At 37.8% G+C, this 14,688-nt stretch overlaps 1 protein-coding gene across 5 annotated transcripts in view, besides 1 other annotated feature; it reads left to right on the top strand.

Annotated features, from left to right (window-relative positions):
* Positions 1 to 14,688, top strand: part of KCNIP4 (potassium voltage-gated channel interacting protein 4) — a 1,220,167-nt gene that overhangs the window by 293,795 nt on the left and 911,684 nt on the right. The gene's annotated exons all lie outside the window — the stretch shown is intronic.
* Positions 7,872 to 8,041: an enhancer, noted in NCBI's record as "experimental_77853 CRE fragment used in MPRA reporter constructs". NCBI's record gives its function as "activates a minimal promoter by MPRAs in K562 erythroleukemia cells, with activity observed for both the introgressed and non-introgressed 4:21648645 variant alleles {active_cell/tissue: K562}" and the evidence as "EXISTENCE:reporter gene assay evidence [ECO:0000049][PMID:34662402]".

Genomic DNA, 14,688 nt, shown 5'->3' with positions numbered 1-14,688 from the left:
TTCCACCCTTTGCAGACTAGTCATACAGTTTTCTTTTTCTTTCCTTTTTTTTTTGAGACAGAGTCTCGCTCTGTCACCCAGGCTGGAGTGCAGTGGCGCGATCTCTGCTCACTGCAAGCTCCGCCTCCCAGGTTCACGCCATTCTCCTGCCTCAGCCTCCCAAGTAGCTGGGACTACAGGCGTCAGCCACCACACCCGACTAATTTTTTGTATTTTTTAGTAGAGACGGGGTTTCACCATGTTAGCCAGGATGGTCTCGATCTCCTGACCTCGTGATCTGCCTGCCTCGGCGTCCCAAAGTGCTGGGATTACAGGCATGAGCCACCATACCCGGCCCAGTTTTCTAATGAAACATTTACTTAACACTTGCTATGAGCCCAGTGTTTCCCCAGGTACTTGGGTGATGATGAACAAGATGGCACAGCCCTTTTATCTAGAGGTATCAAACAACTTTAGGTATCTTTAGATAAAAAAAAAAAACATTTTAATCAAGGTATTTGTTAGCAAAGATCAGCCTTTAGTGCTGATTAGAAAAAAGACACTCCTTTTCCTAGGTGAATGCATCTATGTCCTAGGCACCTGCCATTGCGAGTGGAAGTGTGGAATACACTTTAGATTGCATCCTCTTGACTAAATGCCCTTGCACCAGGTACACGATTAAGGCAGTTAAGTAACAATTGCAAAAGTAAATGGTCAGCAAGTGGCAAGGAACTAATTATATGATACTCTGAGGGCTGTGTGGTTTGGGGAAGTGTGTATGCTAGAGAAATTTATTACATTTCATTCTGTATACTTAACTGTAAATTGACTGCTTCTTGTGTGAATGAGCAGAAAGTATTAGTTTATCCACATTTGATTGAGCAAATACTTCTGATTTTCATTATAAAGCTATCTATTCTTTGTTGTAACATTTTTCCAAGCACTACTATCCTAGGATATAAATAGGTTAATGGCAAATAAGAGATTTGTTTGTTGAAATTAACTCGAGTACTTTCTAGTATTAATAGAAACTTATTTGAGTTTCCTAAATGAGGACTTCTTCAACCTATTCAGGTGTGACATGTCATCTAAGTTAATAAGTGGAGCAAAAAATAAAAATAACAGCATCAAGCACAAAAATTCAGTCTCTGGAGACTGAGAGATTTGGATTTGGATTCTAAGTCCAGTTCCTCTGCCTGCTTGTTTTGTTACCACAGGCAAGTAACTAATCCTTTACTGTGCTTATAATAATACTTCCTACGATCTTTGAATGTTGTGAGGATTAAACAGGACAATGCAAGTAAAGTGCTATGCACAGCCCCTGACACCTAGTAAATATTTAATAAGTAGTAGCTGTTGTTAATGCTGCTGGACTCTAAAATTCATAAGGCTCTACAACATGTAAACTAGCATTACACATATCACAACAATGGATTTTTCATTTATCTATATAGAAATAGATGGATGGATATATGAATATGTATGTATGTGTTTGTATACCCACGATTATGTACATGCACAATTGAGAGCATATTTACTTCTACGGCATTGTAAAACTGATATTAGCTAACATGTACAAGACTGTTCCAACTCCTGTCCTGGGTACCTCATATTAATTATTTCATCCTGATAATAATCCTGTGAAACAGGATCTGTTGCACCAATTTTGCAGATAAGAAAGCTGATGCCTGAAGATGAGTTTATGCTGCTAAGCTGTAGAAGTAAGCTGTAGAAATGGAATTTTAACCCAGGCAGTGTGCCCCAGGTCTGTGTTTCTAACAACAGTGGTAGTCTGAATTTCAACAATGAACAGGCTAATCATTATGTACAAACAGATACATTGCAATGCACAAATATGCATGCACACACACACACTTTTCTGGGTATGTGAGTATTTGCCTAAAGGTGCATAATGAATTTGTGGAATATCACCAGAGAGGTCTGGTGCTCTTGAAGTCTGTAGCCACATTTACATTTTTCTGTTTGTGGTTCCCTTTCCCCAGCAGGCGGATTGAATTATATGACATATCACATGCAAAATGAAACACTAAATGGAAACCTTTCTCTGTTGCCCAGCAATGGATGATTGCTCCACATTGCTTGAAGTTATGCTTAAGCACATCCTACTGCATTATTCTCCTTGTTTGCTTCCTCTTGCTCCCACTCACATTACTTGAACGGTGGCTCTACATCCAATTATATATCATCAAGTGGCAGAAGATGACATTAATATGGATTAACTGTATTCTTTGGTGATCTCTTTGGTGATCTTTTGGCCTCCGATGCTGAATACACTGTTGCAGCAGTTAAAACATGTACCAGGCTACATTTAACAGAAATCTGGCACTTGTAGCATATGGCTCAATGGAAAATTTGGCACTTGTAGCATGTGGCTCAAGGAAAATTTATTTTCCTTATATATCAGCAAGCACAGGAGTAGCCTTTCCAGCATGGCTTCAGCAGGTTTTCAGGCCCCAATGTCTCAGGCTCCTTACATCTTTCAGCCTAATGTCTTTAGCTTGTGTCTGTCTTCTAGAATATTCCTTTGGGTCACTAAGTGGGTGTTCCACCTCCCACCTGACATCCCCATTTTAGACAGGAAGGCCTGAGGTATTTCTCCCTATACTTTTTCATCAAAATGGTACCAAAAGAGGTGGTGGGCCAAAGAGCCTGACACTCTGTTGCCCCTAACAGAATCCAGGTTCTGCTAGAAGTATAAATGTAAAATGAATAAGTTGCTGACAAAGCCTGCCACAACTGAAAACTTATACTACAAGGATGATTTACTGTTAAGGCTGGTGTGATAGTCAAGCCAGCATAAATTGTCCACTAAAAGGTAGATCAATGAGAAGCACAACTTTTTTACCTTAAGAAATTTACCATCCAGAAGATTAGATGGATGAGCAAATAAATAAATATAGAAGTGTTAGAGGTGTAGACCTGTTGGAACTTCGCAATGTCGGTGTTAGGGCTGAGACACACAAACTTTAGTTCCAGTAATATTAAGAGGACTATAAACAACTAGTAATAATGACTTTGTATTATATACAAACTACTTTTCTGGTATTTGTCCAAATTATATATACATTTTATATGTATATCTGTATTACATAGCTATATATATACATAGATGTATATATCTGTAGCTCTATATACATAAAATGAAGTTCAATAACTTACCTGAGTTCAAATACTTAGTAAGTTAGAAAGTTAGGATTTGAATCCTGAAAGTCTGCCATCAAAGTCTTCAACTTGCAACCTATATTGAGGATTCTAAGGACATCCTGTTTTCATTTATTTGTTTTGTTGCTGTTATGTTTTGTTCTTGTAAAAGAATTCATTAGTTTCTTTGGCTCTTGCTAATTATGTAAAGCCCTTTTGAGTCATTCAGCATTCATCATATTTCATAATTGGCTTTACCCAGGGTTGGTAGACATCAGCTTGGTCACCCAATTGCACACAAGGTCACTGTGCTAGAATATTTTCCATTAGGAAGTGGTAAATTGCAGTTAACAAAATTATTCCCATTTCTCTAAACAGTTGTGAGATGGAGTATTAACAATGCCATTTCTTGGACAAAATATCCTCTTTATCCCTAATCTTCATTAGATGGCAGTCATCACTCATGTGAACATCCATATTTCCTGTTATGCCCTCTCCTTGCCTTCTCTGTCCAGCCCTCCTGAAGATAGCAGCTTACTTGCCTTGCCTCAGGCCTTGGCTTTATGATACTCCCTTCAAGAATTATGTGGTAGACAGAATTATAAAATAAGCCCCAATGAACCATGCTCTTGTAGAATATCCTCCCTTTGACTGTGAGAAAGACCTGTGCTTGTGATGCAATGCCATAATACCACTCTCATAATTAGATTGTGTTATTTGGCACAGTTTACTTAAAGAAAGGAGATCATGTTCAGTGGGCCTGATCTACACAAGCTAGCCCTTAAAAGGGCAAGGCTCTTTATGGTAACAGAGATTTGAAATCTGAAAGGGATTCAGCAGGAGAGTCACTATTGCTCACTTTTAAAGATGGAGAAGACCATATGGCAAAGAACTGTGGGTGGCCTCAAGGAGCTGAGTGGCCCCATGCTGACAACCAGCAAAGAATAGGCATCTTGTCTTACAATTGCAAAGAACTAAATTCTGCTACAACCACGAGAGCTTTTCAGAGGACCCCCAAACTCCAGATGGAAATGAAGCCTGGCTGACATCATAACTTTGACCTTGTGAAATCGTAATCAAGAGAGCCTAGTTATTTCATGTCTGGAGTTGTGATGCGCAGAAACTGAGTGATAATAAATTCATGTTGTTTTAAGATACTAAGTTTTAGGTAAAATTTTATGCAGCAGTAGACAGCTAATATCCTTTGGCTCTCTATTTTATTACTAGGTCTAATATCCTTTGGTTGTTCCAAATGTCTGACCCCTCTTTCCTGACCTCAGATATGCAGAAGTATAATAACTTGCACAGGTTATTTAGAGAGTACTAGAGTGGGCTGTGCCCAAATTATGCTAGAGGCATAAACCTCAAGGAGAAGAATAGAGATCCAATATCATTGGAACAAGTGTTTTTATTTTTGTTATTTTATGATTTGTACTAGAAAGATTTTACCAGTGTCCTCCCATATTACATACCTTCTAACACCCCCTACTATGACTACCAAAAACATAAAAACAAACACCATATGATATACTGATTTGAAGTCACAGTTCACTGGAACAAGGACAAAGTCCAAGGTGAAAGAAAATTTTTAAATTCCAAAATTAGCAGAACATGCATTAAGGGTTTTCCACATAGTGAGAAGCAAAATTTCATGCTCCTTTTCTTGCTGGGTGAAGTACAGATCCTGTGGAGTGGGTTGGGAAGGAAAATGCTTTTTCTGTTAGTTTCTGCTTCAAGGAGTTTTCTAGCAATCTATTTTAGTCTTCATTAACATATGCAGATTGAGTTTGGGGTTAAAACATAGTAGGATCATTTGTCTGGCACACACAATGGTTTCACGTGAGGATGGAAAGGCCAAAGATTTGTGGTTGTGTGCATTTTTGGTAACTGTTTGCAAAGTTGGAATAAGCCACCTGCCTGTGATAAAATATGACCCTCACTCACTCTTGTAAATTGCTTTTGCCCATTCACACTTAGAGGTCATTAATCTTGTTTCCCTTTATGGATGGACATTCAGCACATTCCCTACAGTTGATTCAGCTCTAGTTTAGAGTTGTATAAAAAAATTCACCAAGTGCATTTGGAGAAAATGTCACTTTGCAAGGCTTCAAGTTAAAAAGTGCTATCTTTATCTTAACTACACAGAAATACAGGCATTTGCAAAAGGAGCCGTGAAGAGGATAAAAGGAACAAGACATAAATAGCCAATAAATAATTACAAATTATTACCCTACAGGGGACTTTTTAAGGCCTGTTTCACTATGGATCACATGCTTGAAAACACCCTAGATGTAGGGAACTAACTACTCCATAAGACATCCCATTCTTCCTATTATCCCTTTACCACCCAAGAGAGGTACTTATTTTGAACATATTTATTTTCAATTGCCATACTGTCTTACATATCCTTCTCATTTTTATCTCTTTCTTATAGCATCAGTATGTAGTATAATGTTAAGAGACACTTAGCATGTTTTTGTTGAGTGTTAATTCAATGAAATACAGGCTCCAATGATGGGAATTCTGGATAGCATCTACTTGTCATTCACATGACTGTAAAAATGATTGTTAAAAATTAGCACTGTATAAAGATGATGGTAATAATACCTTTTAATTATCTTTCTCTTCTGATGCTTTTCCTCTAGGCCATTCCAGTACAGTTTTAACAGTGATTTCTCCAATATACCTAATGACCAATCCAAAATAACTATAAGTAACTGGTCATCTAGAAACAAAAGTACTTCAGCATTCAATGTAAGCTATAATGTCAGGGAATGAGGGGAACTTCAACATCCTGTCTTTATCTTCCACTAAATTGATTGAGAATGTTAAGTCATTATAGACTCGATACTGAACACGAGCTAGAGTATATTAATTATAACCAAACTGACATTCCATAAAATGTTCAAACAGGAGGGACAGGAGTATATATCATAAAGCAAACACAAGGGAATTTAAAATCATGTCATAATCAGATGAACAAATATTTGACTTTCTATGATGTGCGGGGCCTCTACTAGATTATGTAAACAGAAAATAAATATGCTAAATTTGACAGAATTTTTCCTTTCTAAACAACCCTACTTTGCCACTTCAGAGTTAGGCCAATGCTTGATTACCCTGATTTCCTCTTGAAATGATCTATATGTGAATGAAAATTTTGGCAAATAATTATTCAGCCAATTTATACTTTCTATTGAATGTGTCTCTAATCTCTGCCCTTCGTGTTTGAAATTGATGTAAACGACTGGCTCAACATATTTATGATTTAGAGCTTGAGACTGTGGAAGGTGTGTCTGGTAGTTCTTTCCATTTCAGGCAAGATATTACCATGTCTGTAAACTGCATCTCCCCATAATTTACCAGAGTCCAGGAATTACTAAACAGTTTATAAAGAGCCTCACACAGTCTCAGTGTCTTCTTCCCTGAACTATAACATATTCATACAATGAGCTCTTACTGCTTATTTGCACATTTATTCTCATTTTAAATAATAAATTAAAACACTTGCCACATACAAAACATGTGACATTACAGCTTACTGGACTTAAAGTAGAAATTGCTTTAAAATGAATTTTTGGAGTATATTTTTATATGGTTTACCTCGTTTTGCAGGGATGAAGGACATCAGTGTATTCATCTGTTTTTTAAAAGTATCATTGTAGGCCAGGCGCGGTGGCTCACACCTGTAATCCCAGCACTTTGGGAGGCCGAGGCAGGCGGATCACGAGGTCAGGAGATCGAGACCATCCTCACTAACACGGTGAAACCCCATCTCCACTAAAAATACAAAAAATTAGCTGGGCGTGGTGGCGAGCGTCTGTAGTCCCAGCTACTAGGGAGGCTGAGGCAGGAGAATGGCGTGAACCCGGGAGATGGAGCTTGCAATGAGCCGAGATCACGCCACTGCACTCCAGCCTGGGCACCAGAGTGAGACACTGTCTAAAAAAAAAAAAAAAAAAAAAAAAAAAAAGCATCATTGTAGCAGAATGTCTTCCAAGGGGCAGGCCTGAGGAGCCTGTGGTGATTTTTCTGTGAGTTGTGATATGGTTGAGTGGGGTACGTAAGTTGAGGGCCAGAGCTGAAATGTTGAGAACAATAGAATGATTTTTCAAGTTCATGTCTTGTGTATGGACACAGAGAGAATACTAGTTAGCAGGAAGATGAGGGACAATGAACAGACAAGAACCCAGATCTCAAAAAGGAATTTGACTAATTGGCTAATTGTTCTTTTTTGTGATGTGTGATGTGAATTTATTTTTTCTCTATTCATGAGTTTCTCAGTTATCTGTCAACTTCTTAATAATAATCTGTAGGAGTAGGTCTTTTTCAGAAAATGGAATAAAATGAGGATTATTGTGTATGATAAGCACGGAGTAAGGGTCCATGGCCAGTGCCCACCCCTGCCTTCCAATCAGTCTTTTTTATTGATCTCATATTAATATGAGATCAGGATAAGAGAGATAGAATGAAAAAGAATGTTTAAAATTGTTATGACAAGTTCGCTATTAGGAAGATAAATTGTAGTAATCAGTTTCCCTGTAGAATTCTGGCAACATTTATTTATATTATTCTTCTTCCAAAAAATGTGTATATGTGCATGTACTATATTTTCTGGTAAGGTTAATAAATATAGTATGGTGGCTAACTAAAATATAATTAAGATATAAGATAAACTGCAACTCAAAGATAATTAGATTAAAAGATATATTTAATATTAAACATATATTTTTAGAAGGAAAATGTAGTCTTTGTTTTAGAATACTTTAGGATTCTGGAGCACCCTCAAATCACCATTCTATTCACTTTCAATTACAAAAGACTGAAAAACTGTTGTGGTTTTTTTTCCCCTCAAAACTTTCTAGATTTTTTTTATTCTAGGAAAATAAGAATGATTAGAAGAAATTGGGGGAAAATAAAATTGTAAATCTAAATTTTACCTTCTCATTTGAGATTGTGCCTTCTAAATAATGACTCCCTGATTTGCTATTAAAATAAGAGGGTAAAGTTGTTCATGTTTAATGCAATGGGTAGTAGAATGTGATTGATTTGCCATAGATATAATCAGTGGCATGTGTTAATAACTTCATGGATAGTGCCAGGGAGAGTAACAAACCAAGAGAGTGGGGGTTGCCACACTTGGGCAATGGAGAGCAAATCACCTATAGTATTGCCATGTCCCATGCGCTTGCATTTGCCAACCATGGGGCATGGCTGTTAAATTGAAAATGTAAATACCAGGACATTTTTAAAGTATTTATTTCATTAAAATCTTGTAGGAAAAAAAAAGAACATCTGATTGGAGATCTAAATTTTTGGTTTAGCGCTATTCTATAGCGATTCAATATAGCAATTCGGTATCTTTATATTAGTATGGACAGAAATACACTATGTGCTTCTTCTTACTCTTTATACCAACAAAGACAACAATATTGACTCATTAATGAAGAGGTGGATGAAGCCACTGAGGAGGTAGACTTAACTTCTGTAGGTAAGCACATTTAATAGGATAGCAAGAAAGACATTTGATTGGATATGATGTTATTCCGGGCAGTGGGAACTACATTGGCAACTCAACCAATTTGATCAGTTCACTGGGAGCAATATTATAGAATCTACTATACAGAGTCTGACAGCATAAGGCCAAGTGGAGGATAATAATGTAGGCTTTACTTGGGACAAGATTAATATCTTGTTGGAGAAATCAAGACAATGAAGGATTAGGGTGGTAGAAATAAAGTGAGTGATACGCTCTTTATGATTCAGATGAGAGACAACTTGGTAGGACTGTAGGAATCAGAAAAGGATTCATGGAGGAAATGAGATTTGAGCATATTACTGCAGGTCTGGTGATATTGCAACAGATAACAAAGTGCATTTGAAATAGTGTGCCCATTGAGAGTGAAGCCACAGAAGTGTTTTAATGTAAAATGTGTGCTCCAATGATCTGAATTCATCACCTAATTATAGAGTCTTTTGCTCTTATGTTAGTATCCAGTGGCAAAATGATTTGAGAGTTGTGGTCATTGCTACCCATGGCAGGAGGAGACAGTCTCTGTTTTTGAAGTGGTTGTGTTGCCACTCATACAGCCCATCTGAGCAGCGCATCCCAGACAGACGTGAAATTGTGGAGTATAGGTTTGGGGCTTGGTTCAGCGATCAAGGACAGCACAGAGATAGGCAGATATGAGGTCTTAGACTGGGAACTGTCCCACACAAGAGCCTAGACAGAATAGTGGTATTGATCCCAATCTGTGACAATTGGGATCTGTCTGGATTTTCACTAGATTTTCTATGGGCATATAAGTATTTCAAGGTTTTGTAACGAGAATAAAGTGCACTAGTATTTCAGATACTCATTGCTTAGGGACAGTGACTTTTGCAAGGTATTTAGCTAATTTGACTTTCAGATGTTTATCTCTTAAATGAGAATAATAACAATGTATATTTATTAAGGAAACTCCATTAACCGCTTAATACAGTAGTTAAAAACACAGACCTGGGAGCTAGTCTCTGCTTTGAATTTCGGTTCTATTGCTTACTAAATGTATGATATGGGCAATTTATTTAACCTGTCTGTATCATTTTACGCATCTATAACATAGGAGAAATAATGGTACAACTCATATGGTTGTCTTCAGGATTGAATGAATTAATATGTTTGCAACACATTCCAGCTATACTGGAATGAATTTTATTTTAAGTAAAAATCATGAGTGCTTATGCACACACTCAAGTACTTAATAATTGGTAATTATTGCTATTCTAATGATTATTTCTGTGAATAAAGAAGGTAATATTAATACAACATCTGGCAAATAGTAATGTTCAATAAGAGTTATCTCTGGTACCCTAGGGTACCTTTAAGCTCAGATACTCTTGGATTCCACAGTCTCAGATATTTATTTGCAAACAATAACAAATTATGATTCTTAGAAAAATGAATTCACTACACCAGTTTTCTTTCCTAGAATCTTAATATGCCTTGAAGACATATGATAAATCATAGAGAGATCAAAAATCAAAATAAATTAACAAAGCCTTCTACAAACTACAAGCAGTATCCCATTTTAAGGGCCAAAATGAAATGAAACAAAACCAAAACAAAACCTAAGGTATAAATAAATTACTAAATGTACTGAGACAACTATTGGAGAATTTATGGGATCCACCCAGAATTCCAGCGGACTCTGAGATGCCCAGAGTAAACCCAGGCGTTGACTAAAATAATAATACCACAGAAACAGTAAGGGGATCAGGGTAGCTTCGAATATGGACTTACCCCTTCCTCATCTGCTGCTTTTACCTGCTGCACTTTCATTAGGTTTCAGATGTGAAAATCAAGGATTGGAAATGGAAGTCTTATTGCCAAGATTATATAATTTGTCTACAATTTGGATCTATGCCCCTCAAGATATGCATCACTTCCCACAGAACAAGGCTGTGCCTCCCATCAATCTAGTTCTTTCGGTTTATTCCATAAGGCTCTTCTATAGCTTGGGTTGGACATGAGTTCTGTAAGCTTACCTTATTGGAATTTCTCCAACCCTTTTCCTCCAAAAGTAATATTAGATTTGATTTGTGATTTCTCAGGTGGAAGTTCATTCTGCTTGTGTATTTACAATTGTAGAATCCAAACTGACTCTGGATCTCTGTAGATGGTAACTACATTGCAATCTTGAGTTCATGGAGTTGCTGTGAAATGAAAGGATTACAATGTCAAATTACTCTTCCAAGGTTTTGTTTGATTTTTTTTTTAAAACCAGGACACCGTTCCTTACACAACTTAGAAGGCTTTTCTTTTCTGATATGTAAAATGAAAAAGAAAAAGTTTATTTAAAATTTAATGAGTAAAGCATTGGGGATACATTAATTAGGGCCACAACCAGTAGGATATCTATCTATCTATCTTTCTGCCAGTCTATCTATCTATCTATCTATCTATCTATCTATCTATCTATCTATCATCATCATCATCACCTATCTATCATCTATCAGTCTAGAGATTTATTTCAAACAATTGGCTCACATAATTATGGAGGCCAACAAGTCAAAAATCTGCAGGATAGTCTGGCAGCTTGGAGACCCAGGGAAGAGTTCAAGTTTGAAGGCAGTCTCCTTGCAGAGTTTCTTCTTGCTGAAGGGTGGTCAGTTTTCTTCTACTAAGGTCTTCAACTGTTGAATCAGGCCCATCCACACAATTGAGGTTAATATGCTTTCCTCAAAATCCATTGATTTAAATGTTAATCTCATCTAAAAAATAGCTTCATGGAAATATCTAGAATAATATTTGGCCAAATATTTGGATACCATCATTTAACCGTGTTAACATATAAAATTAACCATCATGAGTCCATTTTTGTAAACCTGGCACTCATATACATCTTAAACCAAAATTAATCTCCAATTAAAGACAATAACAAGGCAATACTTTTGCTTAACATGATTAATACTACTATCCTGTGTACAACTAAAAATGCACTAACCCTTCCCCTAAAAGAGGATGCAAAATCCTTGAAAGTCTTTTTGATGATTATTCTTCTCAATGTCCTCTAACTTAACTACTATGATGTAAAGTTAACATTACTTAAGTACTATAATATAAAGTCAATACATCTCATGTTATATGGTAAGGGGAAAAGAGAGGGAAGAAAACAGATATTTGAGATACCCACATGCACACACTTGAACATATTCATAACAAAATAACAAAGAAAAATACACATGACACAGTTCCCATTTCTGTACTGGTTACATCGCTGTAACTCTTATTTCATTACCATTTACATATTCTCTTTGCCATCAGCAAGTACCTCAATAGGTTACAGTTATTTATCTGGTAAGGGTCACCTTACCTTTATTTTTGAGGGATCTAGGCCTTTAGTAGTCCTGCCCAAATTGAGTTGTTATAGTTTTATATTGAATTTAATCACAGGACATGGCAATAATAAGGGATGCCTTAAGGATCTTCTATATTTCAGACATATTCTTCCTTATTTCCATTGTAGAGTACCAGGTCAATTTCTCTTTGGTAGTCAGTATCAATTATCCCAGCCAGCACTGTAACTTCCTTCCCTGCTTGTTGATTCAGAGGCATGAAGAGCCCAAAGTCATCAGGTGAATTTTAACTTCCACATCAGTGGAATTTGTGTTGTGTCTTCTGCTAGAAGCATTCCTCTCTTTGGAACTAAGACTTCTGAACAAGCAGAGCGTAAGGTCATGGGAGCAGGAAGCAAAATTGTGCTAATGGGTCATCAGTTGTAATAGTAAATAGAGCCATTTCCATTTTCACCACTTGAATTGTGGACCCATGAATTCTAGCTATGGAAGAAATAGTACCATATTTTGGATATCGATTCAAAGTATATGTAGACTCCTGGAGAACTTTGCTACAGCTCTGCAAGGTACTGTCTCATAGCTGACACTGTAACCGAGTCTTCAAAAGGTCATTCCACTGTTCTGTCAAACCAGCAGCAACAGGATGGTTGGGGATATGATAAGGCCCATGAATTCCATGATCATGCTATAGCTCTGCAAGGTACTGTCTCATAGCTGACACTGTAACCGAGTCTTCAAAAGGTCATTCCACTCTTCTGTCAAACCAGCAGCATCAGGATGGTTGGGGATATGATAAGGCCTATGAATTCCATGATTGTGGTCTCATTGCCACACTTTGTTTACTATGAAGTAATTTTCTTGATGAGAAGGAGTGCTGTGTGGAATGCTATGGCAGGGCATAAGGCATTCTGTAAGTTTATAGATAGTAGGTAGTGTTGGCAGAAACATCGTGTGCAGAAAAGGCAAATCAATATCCAGAGTAAGTAACTATTCTAGTAAGAACATAGCACTACCCCCCTTCCATGATGGAAGCAGTCCAATGTAATCAACCTGCCACCAGGTAGCTGGCTGATCACCCTGAGGAATGGTGCCATATTGAGAACTCAGTGTTGGTCTTTGCTGCTGGCACATTGGGCACTCAGCAGTGGCTATAAGTAGGTCAGCCTTGGAGAGGGAAGTTCGTGTTTCTGAGCCAATGCATAACCTACGTCCCTGCTACAATGTCCACTTTGCTTATGAATACATTGGGCAATAAGAGTGGCTGCAAAAATGAGGCTGACTGGTATCCACAGAACATGCCATCCTATCTATGTGATTATTAAAGTCCCTCCTCTCCTGACATCTCTCTTTGGTTAGCATTCACATGGCACACAAATATCTTCATGATTTTCACCCATTCAGAGATGTCTATCCACATACCTCATCCCCAAACTTCCTTGAACCAATTTTCCAATCAGATTTCTTCCAAGTCCTTGACCATCCAGAGAAACCATCATTGGCCACAGCCCATAAATTGGTATATATTTGCATTTCTCCTTCCAAACAAAGTGAACAACTAGATGCACTACTCGGGGTTCTGCTGCCTGAGAGGATTTTCCTTCACCATTATCCTTCAGGTATGTGCTAGAAAAGGACTGTAGTGCTGTGGCTGTCTATTGTATGTGCCTGTATATTATGCACAACCATCTGTAAACCAGACCCAAGTTTGTCAACTGACAGTGGAGTACTCCACATGAGGCCATAGGTGCAGGTTGTAAGAGATGTAGTAATATAGCATAGTGGGGACCATGGGCATTTGGGACACATCTTCATGTAACTTGTGCATTTAGGGCCCTCTTGGGCCTGATCACATATATACCACTTCTTGGTTTGATGAAGGAATGCTGTTGTGTACAGCCAACTTTATGCCTTGGTGGTAGGACAGGTAACGGCCAGTTCATGAGGAGCAGCTCAGTTTGCAGAAGAACTTGGTGTGCCATGGTTAGGCTTTTAGCTCAGTAGTAGACCAAAAGCAGTTTCTCAAAAGGAAAGTAGTTATCTGCAGAGAGTGGCAGGGCTTTGGTCTGAAATTCTGAGTATGCACTATGGTTGTCCTGTATGGTCCTGTCAAAGATTTTAAGTAGAATCCCTATCTGTCACCAACAATTTAAACACCATTGAATCTGCTGGATCATATGACCCCAGTGGCAGGGCACCTATATGGCAGCCTAGACCTGTTGCAGAGCCTTCTCTTGTTAGCAGCTTTTTGGGTCATTCTGTTACTAGGCTGGGGTAGCAAACCAGAATAAGAAATGTATTGCCTCCCAAATCCAAAGAAACTCATTAAGCAGAGATTCTGAATTTAATGCTGTAGCTCAGGGATTGAGAAAGGGCTGTATCAGTTTGGTTGGTTGGTTGGTTGGTTGGTTGGCTGGAACATGGATCAGAAGCTGGCCCACAGTAATTTAACTTGAAATGCTAGAACTGCTTTCCTGTACTGCAGAATAAGAGATTCCAAGGTTTAGGGAGACTGGAATGTTAGATTGAATGTGTCATTTAAGATCTGCTCACTTACACTGGGATGACCCAGAGGGCACACTTTTCATCCTAAGTGTAAAAAACAAGTTTATGAGGGGCACCCCTGCATCCTTGAAGAGCTTTGTGATTGCTTTTGTCTGCCGGAAAATACAGTGGGAACTGCTACCACTGAATAAGGAAACTTAAATGTAA

Source organism: Homo sapiens, chromosome 4 (assembly GCF_000001405.40).
Source record: "Homo sapiens chromosome 4, GRCh38.p14 Primary Assembly".
Taxonomy (NCBI): Eukaryota; Metazoa; Chordata; class Mammalia; order Primates; family Hominidae; genus Homo; species Homo sapiens.
The sequence above is the reverse complement of the archived record's forward strand: the minus strand, read 5'-3'. Positions and strand labels throughout refer to the sequence as shown.